Here is a 27105-nt window from a genome sequence, read left to right as displayed (position 1 = left end):
GCAGAAGATAGCAACTGAATGGTCTTCTCAATACCACAGTTAGATTGCTTGCTTAACCACTGTCAGCATTTACTCTGGTAAGAAAGAATAAACCCTACATTTAATTCAACCACTAATAAGTAGCCCTGATTCTGAAGGCTAGTAAAAGTCCAAGTAAACAGTCCACCTGTTAAATCATCAGCAGGGACATAGTCTTCAGAAGCTCCACGAACTTTCTCTTTCCTGTAAGTATTCACACATTTGCAGAAAAAGAAATTCCTAACATTTTCTACTTTCCCAAAGATCTATTTTTCAGCAATGGTCAAAGTGGCAAATTTCAACAAAAGGAAGGTTTTTCTCCTTGCACATTTGTCATTGTTAACTATAATAAACACAAGTTGTAGCAAAGTGTTTTCATAAATTTGTTTTTCCCCACTACCATTTTTTTACACTGTTTTATTTATAAGAAAATAAATGGCATAGGTTAAGGAAAAGCAACAATTATTCCCGTCCGTAATATTACTTTTGTCAAAGAGATAGAGATAGTACACTCTAAAGAACAATTCCAAAACTTGCACTGAGCCGAATAACAAAAGCATAGACTTCTCCCCAACTTCCCCGCCCACTTAAAGACAACTTATCCCATCTTGTTAGAGGGCTCATCTTAATGAATATCAGAAGGAAAACTCTGGAAAGAGCAATTTTCTATCTGTATCCAAACATGCAAAATTAAAAATGCTGGAGGATTTAAAAGACTAGCTCATTAGCATCTCTTCTGAATTCAAGACAACTTCATCCAGACAATCGGACTTGATGACTTGCCTGGATACCTTAAACCAGTGGTTCTCAAACTTTTGCAGTATCAGTTTCACTTGGAGAACTTGTTACAACACAGATGTCTGTCCCCATCTCCAGAGTCTGATTCAGTATTGTAGGTCTGTGGAAGGGTTTAAGAATTTGCATTTCTACACATTCATCCACTGAAGAGCACTCAGGTTAACTTCATACCTTGGCTATTGTAAATAATGCCACAGTGAACTTAGTAGTGCAGACATCTCCTTGACACACTGATTTGACCTCCTTTGGACATATACCCAGTTGTGAGACTGCTGGATCATATGGTAGTTCTATTTTTAATTTTTTGAGGAACCTCCATACTGTCTTCCAAAATGGCTGTCCCCTATCTCTACATCCTTGCCAACACTTGATATCTTTCATCTTTTTGATAACAGCCATTCTAACAGGTGAAAGGTATATCTTACTGCAGTTTTTGCATTTCCCTGATGATTACTTATGTTGAACATTTTTTTCAAATTAAATACTATTCAGCCTTAAAAAAGGAAATTGTCACTTGTGACACCTGGCGGACATTATTGTTAAGTGAAATAAGCCAGGCACAGAAAGACGAATACTGCACAATCTCACTACATGTGGAATCTAAAATAGACTCATAAAAGTAGAGTGTAGAATTAGAATGGTGGTTATCAGGGGCTGCAGGGAGGGGTGAACATGGACAGAGGAAATGCTGGTCAAAGGGTACAAACCTTAAGCTAGAAGTAGTAAGTTTTGGTGATCTATTGCACAGCATGGTGACTATAGTTAATAATACATTGTATATTTCAAAATTGCTAAAAAAGTGGGTTTTTTTTTTTTTTTGATACAGAGTCTCTCTCTTACCCAGGCTGGAGTGCAGCGACATGATGATAGCTCACTACAGGTTTGACCTCCTAGGCTCAAGTGATCCTCCTGATTTAGCTTCTGAATAGGTAGGACTATAGGCACATGCCACCATGCCTCGCTAATTAAAAAAAAAAAAAATTAAGACGGGGTCTTGCTATGTTGCTTAGGCTAGGGGTGGATTTTAAATGTACTCACCAAAAAGAAATTAGTATGGTGAAAAAAAAAAAGGTTCAGCTGGGCTCAGTGGCTCACGCCTATAATCCCAGCACTTTGGGAGGCCAAGGCAGGTGGATCAACTGAGGTCAGGACTTCGAGACCAGCGTGGCCAACATGGTAAAACCCCATCTTTACTAAAAATACAAAAATTAGCTGGGCGTGGTGATGCACGTCTGTAATCCTAGCTACTCGGGAGGCTGAGGCAGGAGAATCTCTTGATCCTGGGAGGCAGAGGTTGCAGTGAGCCGAGATCATGCCACTGCACTCCAGCCTGGTCAACAGAGCGAGACTCTACCTCAAAAAAAAAAAAAAAAAAAAAAAAAGCCAACCAAACAAACAAAAAAATGGTTCAGAGAATAGGCAGTAAAAAAAAGAGAAAAAAAGAAAAAGAAAGAAATAAGCAAATACACATGGGAGGTGACAGATATGTTAATTAGCCTCATTTGATCATTCCACAATGTATACATGTACCAAAACATAACACTGTATTCCACAAATATATACAATTATTTGTCAATTTAAAAATAATAATTAGCTTTTCTAACAAGTTCCAAGGTGGTACTGATGCTACTACTCTGTGGACGACACTTTGAAAACCACTACTCTAAACCTAAATATTCTCAATTTTTGAGTTTTTTTCAAGAGTCATTGAGACCTCAGCAGAAGTCACCAAGTTTGGGAGACTTAAATATGTTAAACTGCTAAACTGTTCTTTGAGATACTTCATCAGAAGTAAAATAGTGACAAAGTTCAAAATAATTCAGTGTTGAGCTGTGTATATGTGCAGCTTAGAATTCCAGACCCCCTTTTTCTGATTTCACAAAAACAATACCCAGGTGTACTCTGTACGGCTTTATAGAGGGCTTCAATTCTGGCAGTGTGAGGGGCTAAGTCACCTTGCACATTTTTATTTTTTTTTTTTGAGATGGAGTTTCACTCTTGTCCCCCAGGCTGGAGTGCAATGGCATGATCTTGGCTCACTACAACCTGCGCCTCTCAGGTTCAAGTGATTTTTCTGCCTCAGCCTCCCGAGTAGCTGGGATTACAGGCGCCCCCCACCTCGCCAGGCTTATTTTTGTATTTTTAGTAGAGATGGGGTTTTACTATGCTGCATTTTTTTAACTTTATTTTTCTGAGACAGAGTCTCACTACACTGCCCAGGCTAGAACGTAATGGCTATTTACAGGCATGATCATAGTGTGCTGCAGCCTTCAACTCTGGGGCTCAAGTGATCCTCCCACCTCAGCCTCCTGAGTAGCTGAGACTACAGGCATGTACCACCACATCTGGCTGCCTCTTGCACTTTGATTTAGTAGAGTTTCTCTTCAGAAGGTACAGGGACTGCTTCATAGTGGTCTCTGGAAAAAGTCCTTTGTTCCAATTCCCACATCAGTCACTTCATAATGTGAAAAATATACATAAAATCTTGATATGTTCAAATTAAATAGATCTTAGCCTCAGCCTCCATGTTTTCCAGAACTGTTCTATTCTATCCATGACTCACAAGATTCCTGGGTAAAGGAGAGGCTGAAATGGCATTTGTGGAGTCTCAAAATGCCTATGTAAGCCAGTTTTCCACCTCTTCCCCATTATTTTATTAGCACATATGTTATTAAGAGTAACAAATTCATCTCAGTATTGGTTTTAACTTTTCACCTTGTATCAGAGGTGTAATAGCCATAAAATGACCAAAGAAGGGAAGAAGATGGTCAAAAGGTATAGATAAACTGAAAATTCAGCACTAAAAAAATGGCCAAATGACGATATTAAATTAAAAATCAGCATCACCATTTAACAGCAAAAATTTATCAAATTATGCTTGTTGCTAAAAATAGAGATGTTAATTATACACATAGTCCCTGCCCTCATGGAGCTTTATTTACTATCTTGCAGAGAAGACCAACAGAACAATCATTATAAGTGTGAAGAACATTCTAAAGAAATTCAGGTTGCTATGGGAAATGAGACCTAACCTCCCCAAGCAGAGTAGGGAGATATGTGTGAAGTAGGAGGTATCAAGAAAGGTTTCCCAATGAAACTGACCTCCATCACACAATTACTTAGTTTATTAAGTAATGACCATGTGCTAGACACAAACGATAAATAAGAGTGGGCTAGACAAAGAGGGAGGAGAAACAGGTACAGATAGAGGAAACGTGCATGGAATGTTTCCAGAGAACTCAAGCACACAAAGCATGCAAGAGTACAAAGGAAGTTGGAAAGGGAGGAAAGGACCAGAATGTGCAGACCTCTCTAGAGGACTTCTCAAGAGTAGGGAAAAGTAGGACAACAAGAGGATCATGTCTGCATCTTAAAAGATCCCTTTCTGTAGACAATGGACTGAAGGGGGTGACCAGTCAGGAGGCAGTTGCTGCATTGCAAGATGAAATGCTGGAAGGTTAGCGCAGGGTGAGGGGGAGTATGGATGGAGAAGACATATTCATAGTGTCTTTTAAATAGTGAATTTTGCCTTTCATGTCAAATGCCTCTATTTTCTAGTTCTAACACAAGGCACTTAACTTGTAGGGGCCTCAGTTTCATCGCATATGGAGTAGAATTAAAATCTTACCTATGTATTAATACATTTTAAGGTTACTACGAGGATCAAAAAAATCATGTGCCTAAATAATATTGCTGGTACATATTACTTATCTACTACATTTTACTCTCCAAAACTCTTAGCTCCATTTCCATTTCTGGCTAGAAGAGGGACATGTACCTCTGTGCTGAGTTTAGAAAAAAGAACACTGCATCACAGCTGATATAACAAGCAGTAAAGAACGTCTATATCCAAACTGGTAAGGAGAATTCAGCACAGTTGTTAGAAAAAAGGCAATGCTCTCTTAACCAAGAGCAACTGTAACAAAATGTAACTTTTAAAAGGATACAATAAAAACCAGTTATCTAGAAATAAATCTAGTAAGTGCAGGAGCTGTATGGAGAAACTTAAAAGTGCACTAAATAATATTATGCTCAAGAGCACAGTAGGCCAATCTTCCCCAAATGAAATCAACGAAATTCCAATAAATTCCCAAAGTGTTTTTCATAGGACTTAACAAGGTAATCCTAAAGTATATAATCTAGAAATCACAAAAACGTAATGTTGGATGAACATAAGTTGTACAAAGAAACTCCAATATTATGTAACATTTTTAAATATATAAAATATTACATATTGTCATGGACTCATACATATGTAATAACAGTATAAAAACATGCATGAGAATGATAAGCGTCAGATTCAGAACAGTGGTTACCAAAGGGAGCAGAATCAGAGGAGCAAAAACAGGGGTTCCAGTTTACACGTAATCTTTTATTTCTTAAAATGAGTAGGGGATACAGAGATGTTTGTTATACTACTGGTCTTTAAAATCTTTTTTTAAAATATGTCTTAAATATTCCACAAAAATACAGAATGCCTTTTATTTGAAAACCATGTTATTACATGATCTAGTTTAGTAATTCCTAAACACCAATCCAATAGCTACATCAGTAACACCTGAAGTACTTGTTAGAAACAAAGATTACCAGGCTATCCCAGGATCAGGATTTCTGGGAGGAGAGCCATGTGATTCTAATATACAGCCTTAGTAACCCAGGAACTATTAACAGCCAATCCATCAACAAAATTGGTCCCAATCGACAATGAGACATTTAAGTGCTTGAATATCTAATCACTTTCCAATGATCCAACTCTCTAGAATGTAGATTCTAACTTGAGGGCAAAACCGTATAAATTTTAAAATATATCCTTTACCATACCCTCCCAAAAGACTATACATGTAAAAACTGGGTATATTTTATAAAGTAATAGCATCAAATGATTCCATAGAAGGATATAATTCCTTCATATTCACCATAGGAAATATGCCACAGCAAAATTCCGCCAGAGATGATAAAAAGTGCTGTTCTTAAGTTCAGAATGGTTTAAGTCACTGGCAACTACCCTCATGATGTACTTCCCTTAAGCATATAGACAGCAATAATGCATTTCTTTCCTAATTTTCTTCCCTTAGAATACAATTCATAGCTAATTTTATCTAGAGAAATGCAGAGAACCATGTGAGACATAAAAAATAAATTTAGAAAGAAAACAATTTATTAAAAATTAGAGGTATTAGTACTGCAATGACAATTGTCATAGCCTGCTCCCAAGACATAATGTTAACTAGAGATGACTAAGCTGTTAAAATGTATGAAACACTCAGGGGCTTTCTCTCTTGCATTCACACAGACACACACACACACACACACACACACACACACACACACACACAGTTTCCCCAAATATTTTTAAATTACAACTAAAAACAAGCAAAGGGATTATTTTCATGTTCTAAACAACACAAATCTGGTACTGGGCACACAAAGCACATCAACATAAAATAACTCACTTACCAGGGCTTTCTACTCTCTTATAGTGGTAGGGATTGATGCAGACCTCCTTCTGCTTGGAACCAAAAGGAAACTCACAGCATTCCAGTGGTTTTAGTTCATGGTGGCTCTGAAGATCGGGCCAGCGCCACACACGGCAGTAAATGACATGAGGCAGTCCCTTCCGGTGGGAGACTTGCAGCCTGCCATCCAGAGAGCGGGGAATGGTGACACAGTTACTCGGTTGCCCTGGGCAGCTCAAGGCCTTTTCCAGTTCCTCCATGGCACCTTTCTTTTTCTTCAGTTTTTTCACCAAAGCATCAACAGCTTTCTCTGCCCATTTTTCTTCTTCATCGCCCTGTTTCCACCCAAGAAGTCTCTTCACAGCTGGACTTGTAAAGGAAAATAAACTTGTCACATTCATAATGACAGCACTAGTTATACTCCTTGGATATGGTGAAATAAAGCTGTCTCCAAATGCAAAAGGACAGCAGAAGAGATTTGTTTATTTACAGAGAAGTCTCTTTAACTTCTTAGTTTGAAGTCCAGAAGAGTAGAAATTACCATTCCTAGTGTTTAAAAAAGTAACCCAGTCAGCACCTACAAAACAAAAAAAGAATGGTTAGAATCATCTTTACCATACAACCACATTTATTAAGTAATCACCATGTGCTAGGTACTATTTTAAGTGCTTTTATGTAATACAGTATGCTGTGGACTGAATTGTGACCCCTAAAATTCATATGCGGAAGCCCTAACTCTCAGTATGACTATATTTGGAGATGGAGCCTCTAAGAAAGTAATTAAAGTTAAGTAAGGTCATCAGGGTGGGGCCCTAACCTGATAGGACTGGTGGTCTTAAGATTGCTATCTCCCTCCTCCAGCCTCTATGCACACACACTGAGGGTACTGCAAGAAGGTGATCATCTGCAAGCCAGGAAGAGAGCCCTCACCAGAGCCTGTATTGTCCAGAACCTTGATCTTGGACTTTCCAGACTCCAGAACAAAGAGAAAATCTATTTCTGTTATTTAAGCCACCCAGTCTATGATATTTTATTATGGCAACCAAAGCAGACTAATATATAGCATTTAATGCTTTTCACAATCCTTTGAGTTAGGTAATACAATTGCTGCCACTTTACAGATGAGTAAACTGAGAAGCAGTTTAAAAAGTAAGCCACTGTTAGCAAAAGCTCTGGGATAAAAGCAACAAAGTTAAAAAGCCCAAGTTCTCAAAAGATATTGTAATATTTTAGATTTAGATTCATTTATAACCTCTAAAAATATATTTCAAAACACCTCAATCAACAAAAACTGAAAGCAACAGGGAGAAAAAAATAGTCTAATATCTCTGTTTTTTTGGTTTGTTCTACAAATATTTCTTAGGCTAAAAGAAAATTCCTCTTATATAAATGTAGTAATATTTTAGGGTATTTCTTCAGTGAACAAGCCTGTGTCTATGGGCTACAGGACAAATAGGATAGGAAATACATCTCCTGCTTTAAAAATGTTGCTATTTATTGACATAAAAGGAATAAAGCACATGGACACATACTGTACCAAATTCTTTAGCCAAGTTGCCTCATTTAAACTGTTTACTCTTTAGCACATGAAAACATAAAATGTGAAAAAGGTTAAGGAGGTTAACTTTGTACAAACCCTGGCTAAACTGGAGTAGCACGTATCAGACCAACCTCCTTCCAAACAAACAAGCCAGAAAACAAACAAACAAAAGCCCAGCTTTTTAAAGGCATCAAAGAGGAACCAAGGCACTCAGGACTTGAGGGGGCCAAGATCCTGGAGAGAGGGGAAATGCAATGAAGTGAGCTGAATATTCGTCACCACTCTTTCCAGGGATTTGCCAATAGCTATGCTATGAGCAGCAAAAGGTCTAGGAGCCGAGCAGAAAGAGGTAACTAAGAGGCTAAAAACTAAGCAGAGCTTCTAGTAGCCTCATAGCGCTGAGGAACCCCAAAATAACAACACAGCAACAAATGGAGTTGAGGGCCTGCTGAGGAGAAACCCTGGTAAATAGTCTAGGCTTTCAATGGAAGCTCCTGGAGGAATATGCCCCAGTCTAAGGGCAAAAATGAAACGGATCAGTCTTTACAACCAATCTAGAATCATCTTAATCCTAGCCTTGGTCTAGGTGATGGGTATTGCTCTCTAACAGCTTGCCAGAAGAAAAACAAATTCTCTGTAGAGGAAGACAACATCAACCTTAGCCACTACAATTTTAAATTCACAGTGTATGCAATGAACCAAAAGTTATCAAGCATACCAAGAAACAGGACCAAATGATCAAAACAAAACAGAATAGAAACAGACCTAACGGGTGACCCAGGTAATGGAGTTACCAGAAACAGACTTTAAAGTATTAATGATTACTATTTACTATGTCAAGGAAAGAGAAGACAAGGTTGAAGATTTTAACAGAGAACTGGAATCCATAAAGAAGAATGAAATAAAAATTCTAGAACTGAAAAATATAACTAATGAGACTTTAAATAGGATGAACTTAACAACAGGTTAAATACAGTAGAATAAAAGATTAGTGAGCAGGAAGACTGGTAAAAAATGCTCATACTAATGCAAAGAGAGGGAAAAAATGAAAAATAAAGAACTAAGGAGACATAATGGCTCTAGTGAAAGGTCTAGCACTGCATAAGTAGAGTCTTAAAGGAAAAGAAGAAAGACTGTAACAGAGCAATATTTTTAGATACTAGCCAAGGATTTTTCCAAAACTGTCAACAGACATCTAACCATACATTCACGAAGCCCTACACCTTCCAAGGATACATACAGAGAAATCCACAAATTTCAATGTGTCATATAACAGTAAAATTCTTGAAAACCTAAGATGAAACTCTTTAAAAAGGCACATTACCTTCAAGTAAGTACAATCAGGTTGACAGCTGACATTTCAGCATAAACAATGGAAACCAGAAGACAATGAAATGACATCATTAGTGCCAAACGTAAATAGCTGGTAACTTAAAATTCTACATTTAGAGGAAAAACACATTCAAAAAATGATTGTGAAATAAAGATGCTTTCCAACAATCAAAATCTGAGAGAACTGGTTTACAGCAGATTGTCACTAAAAGAAATACTAACAGGAATTCTTCAGGCAGAAGGAAAAAGACTCTAGAAATAAGCAAAGAACTGCAGGAAATGAGGAAGAGCTCCTGAAGGGGAAATAAGGGTAAGTTTAAATGAATACTGACTTCACAAAACAACAATAGGAATGTCTTGTGATGTTTAAAATATATGTACAATTAAAATGCATGGCAACAGCAAAAAGAGATATATGAAGTTAGCATTCTAAGGTCCTTGTGTTATCCAGGCCATGGTAAAGTATAATTTACTATTAGTACAGTAAGTTATGAATTCATGTCATAATAAAGCAACAACTGAGAGAATAAGTTAAAAATTATAACAAGCTAATAGATGGGTTAAAAATATGGAATTAAAAAAATATATATGATTAGCCCAGTAATCCCAGCACTCTGGGAAGCCAAGGTAGAAGGATAGCTTGAGGAGTTCCAGAGTAGCCTGGGCAGCACAGGAAGACCCTATCTCTACAAAAAGTAAAAAAGTAGTCCAGCAAGGTGGCATGTGCCTGCAGTCTCAGCCACTCAGGGGGCAGAGGCAGGAGGACTGCTTGAGCCTAGGAGTTATGATAGGTGTTATGATTGTGCCACTGCACTCCAACCTGAGTGACAGAGTGAGAGCGTCTCTAAAAATCAAATAAAAATTTTAAAAATGATTAATGCAAAACATATGAAAAGGAGACAACAGATGAGACAAACAGAAAATAGTAAGATTTAGATATAATCCCAAAGTATAAGCAATTACTTAAATATAAATGACTAAAATATGACAACTAAGAGAGTTGTGGGGAACATTATTTAACCATATTGTACTTAAAAGAGACACACATTAAATATAAGAACACAGTATTGAAAGCAAGAGAGTGGAAAAATATATACTATGCATATTCCACCCAAAAAGCTGGCATAGCTATCCATTCAGATAAAACAGACTTCAAAAGTAAGAGGTATCACCAGAGATTTTTAAAGACAAAAAAGAAAAAAAGGACATTTTATAGTGATGAGTTGAGCCACCATGTAGTTTTTAAATTCCAAATTTTATGTAAATAATAACAGTCTCAAATTCATAAAGCAAAAGACTAACAATTACAATGACAGGCAAACCCACAATCCTAGTGGGAGATTAACATAATAAATGATAAAACAAGCAAACAAAAATCAATAGATACAGAAAAAAATTGTTTAAAAACTTGATCCAATTCATATACATATTATCACAGCACTCAACAACTGTACAATTCATAACACTTTCAAATACGCAAGGAATACTTACTGAAATTGACCATATAATGAATAACAAAGCAAATCTCAATCTGTATCAAAATACTAAAATCATATAGAACATATTCTTTGATTTTAGTATAACTAAATCAATAAAAACATTGTTATTGAAAAGAACCAAACTTTAAAATAACCCAAAGGTCAAAGAAGAAATTATAGAGGAAATAGAAAATATTTTTAACTGAATGATTGTAAAAATATCACATCAAAAATGCAGGATGTGGCTCAAGGCACAGAGGGAAATTTATAGTCTTAAATGCATATATTAGAAAAGGAAAAAAGCTGAAAACTAACACTCTAATACCCGCCAAAGATTTTTTAAAAGGAAAAATAAACCCAAAGAAAGTAGAAGAAAATGAAAGCAGAAATTTAAAGCATACTAAAGAAAACCTATAAAATCAAAGTTGATTCTTTGAAAATACTAATAAAATTGGATAAATCCCTAGCAAAACTGATAAATAAAAAAGAGAAGGCACAAATTACCAATAAATGGATCAGAATGGGGAAATCGTTAGCCTCAGAAATTAAAAATTATAATTATTATAAATAGCTGTCATGGCAAACGGTGCATGTCTATAGCTACATTGTGATAATCTACACATCTGTCATCTTCACTACAGGAAACAATGTAGGACTCCAACTTATTATTTTCTTACCTTTGGAACTTGGCATAGTACCTGGCACATAGCTGATTCTCACTAAATGCCTGATGAATAATTTAGCTCCTTGAAGAACTTAGAAAGCCAAATACGGAGCGTCAACTCTATTTGGGAGGCCACAGGGTGTCCGCTGTTTTCCTTTTTAAAGAGTTCACCCAAATTTACTAGTTTTTTTGAAGTTGGTATTATTTTCATTTAACATTAAAGGAAAGAGAAAACAAAACTATGCTATTATCAAAAGTCACACTTGGTCAGAGTGTACCTATTGATATGATAATTTCCTTTTACTAAAAGGTTAGTTTTGCAAAAGAACAAGAACTTTTTTCTAGGCTTCTGGGAATAATTTATAGAGGGAGTGTATTTCTTCATATTCTATATGTCCATCTCTTCTTCAAAAACAGCTTTTTAACATTTTAAGCAATAATTTTTAAACAGAATGGCTAAGTTTGCATCAAAATAACTTGGGGCTATTTTAAAATATATAACAAATACATTTAAACAAATACCCCCAAAATCACTTGGGGGTATTTATTTAAGGCAAGTGTTGGGCAACGTATTATATAAGAACCACCATTTCAGATTTTTGTTTTAACTATTCAAATCGACATTCATTCAACAAAGCTGTATTAAGCACCTGCTAAGTATGCCTAGCACAGTGCTAGACACAGGAGACACAGAAGCAAACATGTCTAACATACTGGAGGAGCTCACAATCCATTGGGAAAGCCAGTGTGTAAACAACTAACTCCCATAAAGCAAATTGCTAACCTGCATGCTAATTCTAAAGGACTTTGCTGAGATGTTTTATTAGGTGACCTTCCAGGGACTCAGTCAGAAGAAATAATACGATTATACCATTGCCCATGGGCACAAGAATAACCGAAGAAGAGGCCCATGTGCTGTGCATTTACCTACTATTAACTTACTCTAATATCATGTGATAAAGGCTATAAAACAAGTATCAACAACACTCTGGTCTGAATATTTGTATCCCCTCCCTAAATTCACATGTTGAAATCCTAACCCCAAAGGTGACAGAATTAGAAGGTGAGTCCTTTGGGAGGTGATTAGGTCATGAGGACGGAGCTCCCATAAATGGAATTAGTGCCCTCATAAAAGAGATCCCAGAGAGATCTCTCCTCCCTTCCACCATATGAGGTTACAGAGAGAAGAGGCCATCCAGGTACCTTGATCTTGGATTTCCCAGTTACTGTAACTTTGAGAAATAAATTTCTGTTGTTTATAAGCCACTCAGTCTATATGGTATTTTGTTATAGCGGCCTACAAACTAAGACAATAATATATAAAAACGGAAAAGGAAAGAACAATTCCAGAGATTTCAGAACATTTTTTTCCAAGAGAAAACATCAGACTTAAAGGATAAGTAGAATTTTGCAAAACAATAGAGCAAACATTTTGTGTGTTCATTACTTGACAAACACTGTTCACTGCTGTTTATCTATTAACCAGTTTAATCTTAGCAACAATACCTTAGTATTTACTGTGAAGTAAATACTATCATTTTCTTTATTTTACATGTAAGGAAAATAAAATATAGAATAGTTGAGTATCTTGTCCAAAGTTATGTAGACAGCTATAAGTGGCAGAACCTGGATCTGAACCCATTTTGCCTGGCTCTAGAGCCAGAATTTTTAAACCACTTTTCCAAATGGCTTGTTCCAACAGACACATGATAGAAATGCTAGGGTTTAATCCGCTGGAGATGATGATACAAGCTGATATGAAGGAAGGGGCAAGACTGAAGAATCTTATCATATGGACAAGTGGAAGGTTTTAAATCTGAGAATTAGCATTATTAGATCTACATTTTAGAAAGACAACTAAGGTAATATCTTCAATACAGAAAGATTTCTTCATACTGGGAGCAAAAAAAAAAAAAAAAATCTAAACCAAGGGCATCCAAACATTATAGAAGCCAGTTAGGTGGTAAATGTCTTGAGGCCACTCACGAAAATTAAAGTGAAAGATCACAGCACTTTGCATATAAACATGCCCAGACAAAACAAAATGCAGGCTGATGACTAATTTTTACCTGAGTTAAGCATTTTTTAATATACAAGTCAAACAGGTAACCTACCTCATATAAGGAACTCAAATGAGTCCATGATACTATGGCCTTGGCAAGACAACTACTTTTTTTCTGCCCCTTTTTGTACTTCCTGCCTTAGTTTATGTCAAAAGCTAAGTGGCCTTATCAGTTTAAAGTGCAAAATAAAAACATGAGTCAGCAAACAGAGATTTCCTTCCCTCTTGTCCAAATATAAACATTTCACACTAACAAAAAAGTATTCATCTAGTAAAAAAAAAAAAACCCAGCAGCCTTAAAAATATTGAGATCTTTATTCCAGCAACTTTATCTTCAGAAATTTACTCTAAGGAAATATTCTGAACCAGAAAGGGAAAATTGTTTTTGCACAAAGATTTTCATCAGAGCATTATTTATAATAGGGAAAAAAAGAGAAACATCTAATAATTGAAAAATACCTAAGTAAACTGCATACATCCACTCAATGGAATATTATACAGACCTTAAAAATTATGTTCATAAAGACTACGTAATAATTTGGGGAAAACTGTACGCAGAACATAAAATGGTTGGTTATATGTACCATGAACAACTATGTAAATATATGAAAATATTAACCATGACTGGGTTTGGAAGATTAGTAATGTGTCTCTCTCCTCCTTTTCTAAACTTTTCAAACGTTCTTTAATGAAAAAATGTAACTTCTGATTTTTTATAAAAAGGTTTTCGAAGCAAATATTTGCTAATTACAAAAAAAAAAAACCCACAAAAATCAATTCATTATCTCAAGCCACATCTATACTCTACTTAGAAATCAGGTTGGATTTATAGTGTGATCTGGTTTGAGAAGCAAAAAAAATATAATGTAGTTTAAAGCAGTGTTCTGAACTCAGAACGTTTTCCTAAGGAGTCTCACCCATGGGAAGGATTTCTATCAGAACTGCCAGAAGTGAAATTAGAAAAATACTCTTATACTACTCGACACGGCTAATTAATTTTCCAACTTATGTGTTATTCCTTAATATTAAAAGAAAAAAATGTTAAAATACTCTTAACTGCTATGTAACTTGCTTTATATTTAAAGGAAGCCTAATCAGCCAATTGCAGAACAAATGGGCATTTTCTTCACCTTGGCCTCATCTAGTAAAGCAACAAGTAAATTATCCAACTCCTGTGAATATCAACAAAATACACTCTCTTCCATTTAATATGTTACAGATCCCAAATTCCCACAGAAAGTTTTTTTTTAATTACCCTAATTTGTATATGAAGATATAATTGTTTTTTAAAGGAAGGAGTAACCACCAAATGTTACAACCCCCTTTAATAAAAAGATTAGGAGACAAATAATGTTCAACCACTCTCTGTATCAGCTTCAGACTAGAGGCTGTTTTATAATTCTTGCACCAGTATGGAATTCAGCAGACAAAATAAATGCTCCCATTAAATATTGAGGGAATAATTGTATTATTCAATAAAATAAACAAAAAATACAGGCTACAAAAAGTGACTGGGGGAAAAAAATCCAAAAACTCTCCGTACTTTAAGAAAGGCAAATAACAGAAGATAAATGGTCTATTGTCAAATGAAGCAGGCAACTCTTTTCTCCCCCTACTTCTTGTTCTTTGGTTCATTACACTTTCTTAACTAATAGTAAAAAATCATGGCACAAAGATCAAAAGAATTAAGGAACTAAAAGTACAGGGTATTGATTAACTTCACTTTGAAAATGTTTAACAGCTGGATACTTTTTTTTTCTTTTTTTTAAAGACAACTTTATAAAAATTCTGTTTGATCGGCCAGGCTTGGTGGCTCACACCTGTAATCCCAGCACTTTGGGAGACCGAGGAGGGGGGATCACCAGTCAAGAGTTCAAGATCAGCCTGGCCAACATGGTGAAACCCTGTATCTACTAAAAATACAAAAATAAGCCGGGCATAGTGGTGTACACCTTTAGACCCAGCTACTTGGGAGGCTGAGGCAAGAGAATCACTTGAACAGGGAGGTGGAGGTTGCAGTAAGCCAAGATTGTGCCATTGCACTCCAGCCTGGGTGACAGATTGAGACTCCGCCTCAAAAAAAAAAAAATTGTTTGACCTTTTTTTTCCTTTTTGGAAACAAATATTTCTAAGTAACAAAACCACCTAAGTGCGTATTTCCAGACTTACATCGCCAGATATATTCTTAAACAGATAGACTGGTCTTGTGAATACACAGAAAAAGTAAGACTTGAGCTTCCAGAGTAGACCTATGGTGGGCTTCAGAGTGATTATAAGCAAACTGCATGAATTTTGTAGTTCAGCATTTTTTTTTTTTTTTTTGACAGAGTCTTGCTCTGTCGCCCAGGCTGCAGTGCAGTGGCGCGATCTCGGCTCACTGCAGCCTCCACCTCCTGGGTTCACACCATTCTCCTGCCTCAGCCTCCGGAGCAGCTAGGACTACAGGTGCCCACCACCACGCCCAGCTAATTTTTTATATTATTTTCCAGTATTTTTAATATATGAAACTATTTCACAATACACCTCATTAGATGCCATGGAGATGCAAGATATCTCAGAGACATGTTGTAGAAAGTGATCAATATTAACTGGCAATATTAATTAGTATTACAGAAATGTATGTGTCATCTATCCTAACATCCAATTTTGGATAGGATTCAAGGCCTGGTGAGATCAACTCTTGCCTTGTTTGAGATGCTTAAATTAAAACATCAAAAAAGGTCAAAGGGGAACATGCCAGGGGACTTGTAATGTAATTCTCATTACTATAAAACAAACTACTTTTTTCTAACCTGCTCCATTTCACTTAGGTACTCAAGTCAACTGTATAGTCCAAACAAAGATGGAATTGTCCAAATAGATCATGATTTCAAAGGATAATAAAGACACCTGAAAAATTCCTGACACTTATAGAAACCACAGACTCACAGAAGATTATACACTAAAGACGTAGGGTTAAAAATGCATAAAAACACAAAGGTTGGAAAAACCATATTATTTCAGCAATTTAAGGCCAATAAATATTTTAAAACAATAAAGAGCAATCCATCATTGCTTGCATCTTTCAAGCCATCTTGTAAGCAAAGAATTGCAATGAGATTTATTGGTAAAATATGAAAAATTCACAAAATGGAAAGGGGATCATAATCATTTGCCCTAAATAAAATCAGGCTGAATTAATCAGAAGTCCAGAAGAACTGGGAACTTACAAACTTTTGATAAAGCTGAAATAACTATTACTTAAATGTGGAACAGCAGACAACCCACATGAGACAATGGCCCAGCAAGAGGGCTGAGGCAGAAACTGCCATCCGCTCACATTTCCAAACAGAGAAATAGTACCCCTAAAAAACAGTACCCCTAAAAATGAAGACAGGTGGAGACAGAACTCTAGAACAAGTAGAACACAACGATAAGTAGCAGACAGTAGGAATTGTAAATGGTTCCTAACAAAAAGCATGAAAGATTATTGTACAGCTCCTTAAGGAAAATGATAAATATCTACCCTTAAGGTTAAGGCAGACAGGCAAAAGACAAGTTAAAATTTGCTATACAAGTCCAATGCCATTACAATGAATATAAAAACAGAAATGGATCTAGTTATTTCAGTTCCAGAAAATACCCTAAAGTAGCAATGTTCTTTGATCTGGTTCAACAAATAATGTTCAAATGCTTCTTTAACCCAGTTACTCCAGTTAGGAGCTAACCAGGTTTTCAGATACAGTAAAGTCCTTACGGGTTCTTGGAAACTGTGGCTCTAAGTGAAACGATGTAAAACAAAATTAATTTTAGCATCAGCTAATTTATATAAACAAGAGTTAAGTTCCTTCAGGACATTTCTGGTCACAAAAACATTACCAAACTTCTGAGACCCAAAACACTTCTAAAATTAACACTGAAATAAATGTGAGCCATATATACATTTAAGAAAGATGAACAGAAACAAGATAATTATTTACCCAATTATTCCAATTCAGGGTCGCAGTGGCCCGAGCCGATCCCAGCAGCTTAGGGCACAAGGTGGGAACCACCCCTGGACAGGACACCATTTCATGGCAGGGCGCACTCACACACACACCTACATGCACTGCAATGGGGACAATGTAGACATACTAATTCACCTAACGTGCACACCTTTGGGATATGGGAGGAAACTAGAGTAGCCAGAGAAAACCCAAGCAGACATGGGGAGAATGTGCAAACTCCACACAGACAGTGGCCTAGGCTGGGAATGTTTTTTCTCATCAACGTTATAAGGAAATGGCATTGAATGAAATGAGGTTGTCTGAGGACCTGCTGTATTTGTATTGGAGGAGGAAACAGGTGAAGTGCCTGCATTCCTTTTTCCTGTTTTAAAACAGCAGTTAGCCCTCAACTTTCAACATTTGTCTCAATCTCAAATGAGTCAAATTTAGCTAAATAAAACTCACCACTAAGCAAAATAAGGGAGGAAAAAACCTCTAGAACAGAAAGAAAAATGAAAATGGATAAAACCTTGCTCTTTACTGATGCTAACGTACTTCATAAAGTACAGCGCTTAACTTCATTGCTAAAAAGGCTATAATGAACTCTATTTCGCTTTAGTCCTTAGGGGAAAAATGTATTTAAACCAAATTCCTACACAAGAAAGCCATACGGAGACCCACAGAGAACACAGAACTCTGCTGCTCTCAGTTCACAGCAGCAGGAGAGTCCTACCATCACAAACACCACAAGTAAAGTTCCATCTTACTGAGCCTCTTACTATTCAGCCTTGATCTGGCTACTTCCAAACATGGGACTGATGATGCAGAATAGCTAGTTTGACATTTTTCCCACTGAAAATTTATTTTTGCCGGAGACTGATTTTCTAAATCTGGAGAAATTGGGGGTTGGAGATAGGAGAGAGGTTCAGTTCGTGAAATTCTATTTATAGTGATGCAATAATGCAGGTACTATTGCCTTTAAAGCGCAGACACTGTGCGTTTAAAGCGCAGACACTGACAGCAAGTCTTCCAGTCTCTCCAGTATAACTTAAGTGACATGCCAGCAAGAGATGCAATTTGGTCCCTCAACAGTGTTAAGTGAGTAGAAATCTTAGGAATCAAAAAGAAAAGGAATACCATGTAGACTGAATTCCAGCTTACTACTTACCACTTGTAAGTTCACTGAAGCTGTGAAATTTCAGCCAAACAATTTCAAAAGTAGCATCTCCTTGATGAAAAGGAAGCAAGGAACTTATGGATGTCAGAATGACAAGAGTCTCTAAGGATATAACTGTAGTTTATTTATTTTAGGTGTGCCAAGTGTGCTATTAACGTATCTTCATTATATCAGAAAATTCTTTAAAAAGAGTTCTTTCTGGTTCTGTTCTGCATACACAAATCCTTCCATCCTGACAAATCTAGGCTGCTAATAGAGTACCTGGTTAATTTTTCTTAATCACAGAGATTCCCTATAAAATAGCAGCTGTCACATCTGTTTTGTCTGATTAGATGATTACTTGAATAGTTAAGGCAATTGAAAGTTTTCTTATTGTCCCCAACTTCAACAAACAAAGTTGGCTTTTCTATATCTTCTTGCCATTTCCTCTAAAAGTTGTACAACATTCCTTAATCCCATTGAACCCCCATTCCCAAATTCATGCTTGTAATGGCATACTGTCCTTCAGGACACGGTAGCCTTTCAAGATGTCCAGCTCCCCATAAGCTCATCCTGATAAAGGCCATTCACATTCATGTCAACTCAAACACTGTAAAGACTCCTGGCCTACAAATGCTCACTCCTCAAACACAGGAAAGATTGAAGACCACAGACATTTTAAGATTTAATTTTATTGACTATCCCAGGAGAAAGTCTATGGTAGTTGTCTCAGAAAAAACTATTCTCTTTGAGTCAGTTATCCTAAAATAGCAATTTTAGACTACAAAGAATGCTAAATGTGGTAGATTTCCGTAAGTGGCTAGTTATGAATGATTCGTCAGTAGCTAATAAACGAAATTGTTTGAGTTACCAACTTATACAAGCATTATACTGGTTGTTTTTACAAACATTATTACATTGACTCCTCACACCAATGCTTCAAGGTAGAAATCATTATCTCAATTTTAGTAATAAACTTGAGGCTCAGAGGTTAAAGTAACTTTCTCCAGACCATATTCTGGTAAGTAGTATATCTATATTTTAAACCAGTACTGACTAATACTGAAGTCCCTCAGTCAAGTTTAAAAAAAAAAAAGGTAATCCAAATATCAAATTCACAGATGAAAATGGAATCAACTACAGGAGGAAAAAACTATCCCTTTAAAAAAAAAAAAAGAAACAAAAATCCTGCTGTATTTCATGTTTTGGAACATATTTCTCTCGCTCCACTGATCTCACAGGTGCTGTTTATGACAACAAACATGCACATCTGTAGGGGTGAACTGACAGACACAAAGCAGGACGGCCTGAACTCTCTTCCTATATTTAGATCCTTCAGCTCAGCTCTTAATTGCATAATTTAATCAGGACCCTCTAGAAGGGAAACACATCCATATTCATCACAGGCATCAAAGGAAACATCTTTACAAGTTATATCCTTTTACAAACCAACATATGGTCTCACGCCACTTTCCCAATTGTTGAACTCCTCCTCTGGGAAGAGCATGGAATTTTATTTCTTTTTATCACTTGAAAAAATCACTTCCCTCCTAATTCAGTAAAACTGGGTGGAGGCCACTTCCTCCACAGGTGAGAGAAATAAAACTTGTTGATCTGTCATTGTCAGGAATTTTAAAGTTAACCATTTATTTTACATATTTTGAAAATGGAAACAAAAGGCAGACAAAACCCAGAATGAGAAATTGGGGCACATTCTCCATGCTTTCAAATAAAACCTCTACCTACTTTTTTGTCATTTTAAGATGGTTTCTAAATTAGAAAACAAGTGTCCTTAACTTGAATAGGTTTGAACTGCAGCTGTCCACTTAGTAGCTGTACTTTGAAGAAAACAACTCTGAGCCTCAATTTGCTTTTCCACAAAATTGTGATACCATCACCCAATCCACTGGGTTAGGCAGATTAAATATAAACATGAAAGGCTTACTTCAAAATTATAACATGCTGAAAAACAAAGTGATTAACAAAGCAGGTTCACAAATAAGGCTAATTTTAATATTTTGCATATCCAAAAAAATGAGGTTTACAGTCTAGTTTTTGTCTGTTTAATGAAGTTCTAACTTCATACAAAAAGAGAAAAACTAGTAACCACTACAGTTATTCAATTCACTCAACAAACAGCTATCACATGCCAGGCACTATTCTAAGCACTAGAAACGCAGCACTGAAAGAGACACAAAAAGTTTTTCAAAGTCTGTTTCTGTGCCTTGGTGGGGCCTACATTCTGGTGGTCAGGGAAAGCCTCGTCGTGAATGTGGTATCTGAACAGCCCCCTGAAAGGAATTATCTGGGGAAGGGCATTCCAAGCAGAGAGAAGGGCAATTGCAAAAGCCATTTGAGCCATTTGGCAAGAATGATCCTGAGATGTTCAAGGAATGGCAAGGAGTCCTCACTGAGGCTGGAATGGAGTGAGGGGAGAGAAATGAGAGATGAGGCCAGAGAGGTCACAGGGGAAGGTATGTGCGGGACCCACAGAGACTTCAGAGCTTTTGACCCAAATTGAGATGGAAACACTGGGAGATCTGAGCAGAGGAGAGCCATCATCCAACTTAGAGTTTAATAGAATTACTGTGGCTTGCTGGGTTGAGAACATACTGAAGGACGCAGGGATCGAAGTAGGGAGTGGTGGGTAGGGAGACCAGTTAGGAAGCTATGGCAATTGTTAAGGTACAAGATGATAAAGATTTCAACCAGCGTGGCAGAAGTCGTCAGATTCTGGATATATTCTCAAAGTACAGACATGAACAAATAATACTTTACTGCTTATATAAAGAAAATAATTAACTGTAAGGTTGGAGAATTGTTTAATTTTTAGAAGTATGAAAACCCGTATTATGGGAACTGTAAGACTGAGCGAGATTTTTTTCTTCTTTTTTTATGGAATCTTTCTACCCAGAGATTGAATATCTGAGGTAGGACCAAAGACAAGGCCACTGGAGGAGAAGTAGTCCAAGAATTATGGACTAAATGTCCATAATTCCTGTACAGGAATACAGGTTGAGTATCCCTTATCTGAAATGCTTGGGACCAGATGGTGTTTCAGATTCCAGGTATTTTTGGATGTTGGAATATTCTGAATATATAAAATGAGATATCTTGGGGATGGGACCCAAGTCTAAACATAAAATTAATGTATGTTTCATCTACACCTTATGCACATAGGCTGAAATTTTTCTTTTTTTCTTGAGACATGGTCTTGCTCTGTTGCCCACGCTGGAGTGCAGTGGCATGGCTCACTGCAGCCTAGACCTCCCAGGTTCAAGTGATCCTCCTACCTCAGCCTCCTGAATAGCTGGGACTACGGGCAAGTGCCATCTCGCCTGGCTAATTTTTGGATTTTTATTAGTGACAGGGTTTTGCCACATTGCCCAAGCTGGTCTCAAACTTCTGGGCTAAGTGATCCACCGCTTCAGCCTCCCAAAGGGTTGGGATTACTGGCATGAACCACCATGCCTGGCCAATCTTATAAAATAATTTTAATAATTTTGTGCACAAAAAAGTTTTGACTGTGACCTGTCAGATAAAGTTAGGTGCAGAATTTTCCACTTGTGGTGCCATATCAGTCCTCAAAAAGTTTTGGATCTTGGAGCATTTTGAATTTTCAGATTAGGGTCGCTCAACCTATAGTATAAAGGGAATAACAACCAGGAGTTAAATCTTGTAGGAATTAGAGTGAACGATATGGGCAATGGGGCAGAAAATGACTAACAAGGAAGAGTAATGAGTGGTATAATTTTACATGATAGTCGAAGTTGGGTGTTTTTTATAGAGGATGGTAGAAGAATGGTCTGAAGGTGGCAATAAGAGGTAAAAGGTTTATGGGAAAAACCAGCCACGGCTTGAGAGAGCCACAGGGGAAACAGCTCCCTCAGATGAACACACACAAAGATCTATGTTCAAGTATATTCGTGTTCTAAATAACCCAGGTGCCTAACAATAATGGAATGATTAAATAAATTATGATACATTCGACTATGATGTAACTGTTAATAAAATAAGAAAAAACAGATGGACTTTCATGTACAATACTACCATGAAAAGAAAACCATACCACAACTGTTCAGTAAGAAGTGGTAAAAAGTATCTATAGTATGGTCTCTTTCTAAAAACACAAATAGAAACAAAAACTGTCTATGTATATACATGTGCATTTTTAAAGGCCTAGAAAAAAATAAATGAAACTGAACAAGTAGTTACCTTTAGGAGTGAGCTGGGTACAAGGGAGTGCAGGAGAGCCAACTACTTTTAGTTTTAACCAATTGCTGTTTTCAAATTTAAAACCACAATAACAAAAATAAATAAAAACTGACAGTAGGTAAGAGAGTTATTTCTACATGGCTCTAGAAGACAGCATTATGACCAACAGGTGGCAAGATATATCTTTGTATAAAGGAAAAAAAATAATTGAAAGTGTATCTGCATAGGATTTTCAGAGAAATGTATTCTGGTAAAATACATGACCCTATTCTGGGTTAATATGATATGGATAGGAATGGAATGTACTCTTTTATTAAGGATTCAGGCACATAATCAAAAAATTCCATTTCAAAAAATGGCATATTATAGCAAAAAAGTAAGTTTCCCTCCCATTTTAGACCCTTACTCCCCTTTTTATTAACTGTTCAAATATCCATCAAATTTTTCAATGCATGAATTTCTTATTAAAATAAAAATGTTCTATGTTATTCAAATATCTTCACAAGCAATTTGGTCCTGTCCTTTTTCCATTACAGAAATCTGTTATTTGAAAGAATAACTTCTAAAAATCAAAGTTTATCTAACCACTGAAACAAACATTGACATCGGCCAGATTCCACTCTCATATGACAATCAATGACAGACTTTTTCAATCTGCCAAAAACTGGACTGGAATTGCAAACATTCATTTGGCCACCTTGGAGGAGAAACTGAACAAATAGCAGCAACCCCCTCTTCCAGAATGTGAGAGCTCCCTCCACCTAAGAGCTAAAAGAAGCAAATGCAAAGTTTTTCACTGGTTTTAGAGAAATAATGCTTTAGATATAAGCAAGCATCACCTATAGAATTAGGTGAGCCCTGTGCCCATGAATCTAGTCCTTTCTACCTCTGATCACTTGTTCAGTACAGTCTTATCTGCTAACTTCCCTAAAGTAATTTATTTACCAATTACAATGGAAAAACCCAAGACAATATTCTCAGAAGACTTCAGAACCCAAGTTCTCCTCCTTTACACGCTCAGCTACTAAGAAGGCTTTCGTTTCCATTAATCCAGTATTTAACTGAACAAATTTTTAAGCCCTTATCACCAACATAAAGGTGCAGTAGAAAGAAAATGAGTATAACACAGTTCCCATTACCATCAAGCTTATGGTTATGAAGTGTGTATGGGAGAGATGGGAGAACCATATCATATGGTACACTATGATAAGAGTCACAGGACCGCCTGTTCAGGCTCTTCATCTAAGGAGAAACATACGTGCAGACAGAGCGACCTACAGTCTGTGCTACAACGACATCTTCCACGCATCCTGAGCTCGGTGTTACTTACCCTACAGTGGAAATCCAAATAGTCCAAATATCAACCAGCTGTTTCAGTGGGTATGAAAAATGGGACAGATAATCCAAAGCAGCCTTACTAGTAATTAACTATTGCTTCTACAATGTATTATGATTCATCAAAGCTTTTAATCATTTATATTTTGCTTACACTATTAATAAAACTACAATATGCCCTGAGAACATAGTAAATTCTAGAGAAATGCCTATTTAAGATTCAAAAATTGCTGTGGAAAATCTGTAAATGGATGACGGTTAACTATAGTGTTTTAGTATATTATAAAAACATAAAGACAAACATTTTATGTCATATAAATCACTCTTTCTCTTGGAATTCAGAGTATAGGCAAAAAAACAGACTTTTACAGAACACCTGAAACATACTAGTTTGAAAACTCAAGAAACTTTTATCACTATCACCACCAACTTCAAAGGGAGAAAGTGGTAGGTGGTTTTATGGGAAACACTGTATAAAAGTGCATCCATGGTCTCCATCAAATTTCAACAGAAGTATAGTCATCCCTTGGTATACCTGGGGCACTGGTTCCCAGACCCCACCACCCAATACCAAAATCCTTGCATACAGGTCTCAGTGGGCCCTGTGGAACTCGTGCATAAACAAAAAGCTGCCCCTCTGCATATTCAGGTTTCACCTTCTGCAAATACTGTATTTTCTATCCACTTTTGGTTGAGAAAAAAATCTGAGTATAAGTGGACTCCTGCGGTTCGAACCTCTATTGGTCAAGGGTCAACTATATTCAAAAACAATCAAAAGTCATCCTTATATCATCCTCATCACCACAACCACAACCATTATGAATCACCACGCACTGTTTTGAGCACTTTAAATTTAATTAAATAGGTCTCTTAATCCTTACACGAGTCCTATAGAACAAGAACTATTTTATAGATGACAAAACTGAGGCACAAAAAAAGTTAAGGAACCTGCCAAGGTAACCTCTCTACTGCTTCTCCACAGTAGTCCCCCCCTTGGTTTGATGCATAAGGCAGAGTAACAGGCAAGGATTTGCTTATAGTTTTAAAAAATTCCCTCCATCTCCTTCCATCCCTTTCTAATTTATTCTTGTTTTTGCTATTGCTTTCCTTCTTGATACCTTCCCACTTACCCAGAACATGAAAAAAAAAACAAGAGTTTTATCAAGGCAGCAGTGACAAAATTAAATTCACTTTAATCTAAAGAGCTTAGAATAAGACATTATAAGCTATCATTCAACAAGACATCAGAAAATTGGCACCATTAGCTCTTGTATGTGTTCAAATCTTAATAATCCTTTTCTCATGATGAATCTGTAGAACACTAAAATTAAACTCCTTTTAAGAAATTCATTTTCTTGACCCAGGTGCAATGGCTCACACCTGTAATCCCAGCACTTTGGAAGGCCAAGGTGGAAAGATTGCTTGAGGCTGTGAGTTTGAGATCAGCCTGGGCAACATAGCCTTTATTTAAAAAAAAAAAAAAAAAAAGCCAAGCACTGTGGTGCATGCCTGTAGTCCCAGCTGCTTGGGAGGCTGAGGCAGGAGGATCACTTAGGCCCAAGAGTTCGAAGTTACAATCAGCTGTGATCACCAGCCTTCAGCCTAGGCAACATAGCAAGACCCTGTCTAGTTAAAAAAAAAAAAAAAAAAAGGAAATTAATTTTCTTTACATTCCCACTGATTATTTTAAGATCCTTTATTGAAAACATAAAGAAAACAAAAATTGCTAGCTCTTTTTATCTTGAGGTTAATAGTTTTCCAATCAAGTAGATGTAGAGATAAAGAAAATTTAAAGGAATCTTTCAGGTATATTTTAACATAGATAAGATGCTAAGATATTAATTTCAACACCTAATACACAGTTGTAAGTCACAATGCTACTTATAGATAATGGCAAAAATAGTACTCTGGACTCTGAAGGATTTGTGGTAAGGGGTAAGGAAAGTGGGAAGATAAAGCACACAAACTGTGTGCTGGTGTGGCAGAAACGGTCATGACACTACCACTTCAGTTACCCCATCTGTCTCCTGATCCCCTTTTTTATCCTCTATTTCAGGGTTCCTCAACTTTAGCATTACAGGATGTTTGGCTGCATCCCTGGCCTCTACCCACTAGAAGCTATTTGCAACCCTCCAGCGTCTCCCTCCAATTCGTGACAACCAAAAATTTTTCTGACATAGCCAGATAAGCCACAGCTCTATTCTGCCACTTTTCCTCTCCTTTTCTCTTTGCAATCTAAGCACCTCAGGCCTCAACAGCTTTCTATAACTCATTTGCAGACTCCGGGATTCACAGAACTGCTGATTCTTCCACAAAGGGAAAAGGGAGAGATGTCAAACACACATATCCTTTCTGTCTCTGCTCTCCTCAATGAAAAAAAGGGGAAGCAAAGCAGTCAATCCTCAGAACTTAACTGGTGTGTCTGAGCACCCACAACTGACATCACACAGTGCTGGGTGCTACAGAGTATAAAAGACATGGTTCATAACTACAATGAACTCACAACATACCATATTTCCTGATGTAATTCTAAAAACAACAAAATGAAAAAATTCATTCACCAAGTACCTACTGTGTGCCAGCCCAACCGTTCTTAATGTTGCTGGATATTAACAGTATTTTTAAAAGCTTCCTTACCATAACCCTTCAATAGGATGGGCCCAGGCATCTTTGTGGTGGTAGCTGTTCACACGATTTTGATGAGTAGACAAGGGAGAACCACTGCACTAGGCACTGTGCGAGCACAAAGATCATAAAGACACTGGCCATACCCTCGAGGAACTCAGTCTAAAGAGTTAATAAGGTAATTGTAATAAAAGGCATTACAACAGATGCTAGACTAGACAAGCAGGTTTGTATTGTTCCTTAAAGTTAGAAGATCCTCAGTGCAGGTCCTGTACTTACAATTCCTTACCCCCAACTTTATCAAGCTGTCTAAGAGATACACTATGAACATAAGCATAAATAGAAATACAGACACTCAAAACCTTGCTGAAAGAATGAACTGGGGCCGGGCGCGGTGGCTCACGCCTGTAATCCCAGCACTTTGGGAGGGAGAGGCAGGTGGGTCCCAAGGTCAGGAGTTC

General features: G+C 36.9%; 1 protein-coding gene and 2 long non-coding RNA genes across 16 annotated transcripts in view, besides 1 other annotated feature; 2 read left to right on the top strand and 1 right to left on the bottom strand.

Annotated features, from left to right (window-relative positions):
• Window positions 1–27105, bottom strand: part of SMAD1 (SMAD family member 1) — a 78407-nt gene that overhangs the window by 37890 nt on the left and 13412 nt on the right. For 11 of the 14 annotated variants that reach the window (XM_047415690.1, NM_001354812.1, NM_001354813.1 and 8 more), the window contains exon 2: window positions 6274–6849. In XM_047415690.1, the coding sequence (XP_047271646.1) occupies window positions 6274–6673 (400 nt within the window). In that variant the 5' untranslated portion in view covers window positions 6674–6849. Of the gene's footprint in view, window positions 1–6273; window positions 6850–7804; window positions 17117–17307; window positions 17463–26656; window positions 26807–27105 lie in introns of those variants that run through there. The other 3 variants (XM_047415688.1, XM_047415691.1, XM_047415689.1) reach the window with 3 other exon arrangements.
• On the top strand, window positions 4093–6709 carry SMAD1-AS1 (SMAD1 antisense RNA 1). The gene is made up of 2 exons (NR_126371.1): window positions 4093–4273; window positions 6297–6709. It is a non-coding gene; the product is annotated as an SMAD1 antisense RNA 1 (long non-coding RNA).
• Window positions 13413–13613: a silencer, noted in NCBI's record as "peak5131 fragment used in MPRA reporter construct". NCBI's record gives its function as "represses an SCP1 promoter by STARR-seq MPRAs in K562 erythroleukemia cells {active_cell/tissue: K562}" and the evidence as "EXISTENCE:reporter gene assay evidence [ECO:0000049][PMID:32103011]".
• On the top strand, window positions 18307–24238 carry SMAD1-AS2 (SMAD1 antisense RNA 2). Its single transcript, NR_108077.1, has 2 exons — window positions 18307–18411; window positions 23221–24238. It is a non-coding gene; the product is annotated as an SMAD1 antisense RNA 2 (long non-coding RNA).

Source organism: Homo sapiens, chromosome 4 (genome assembly GCF_000001405.40).
Source record: "Homo sapiens chromosome 4, GRCh38.p14 Primary Assembly".
Classification (NCBI taxonomy): Eukaryota; Metazoa; Chordata; class Mammalia; order Primates; family Hominidae; genus Homo; species Homo sapiens.
This window is presented reverse-complemented; position numbering and strand designations above follow the sequence as displayed.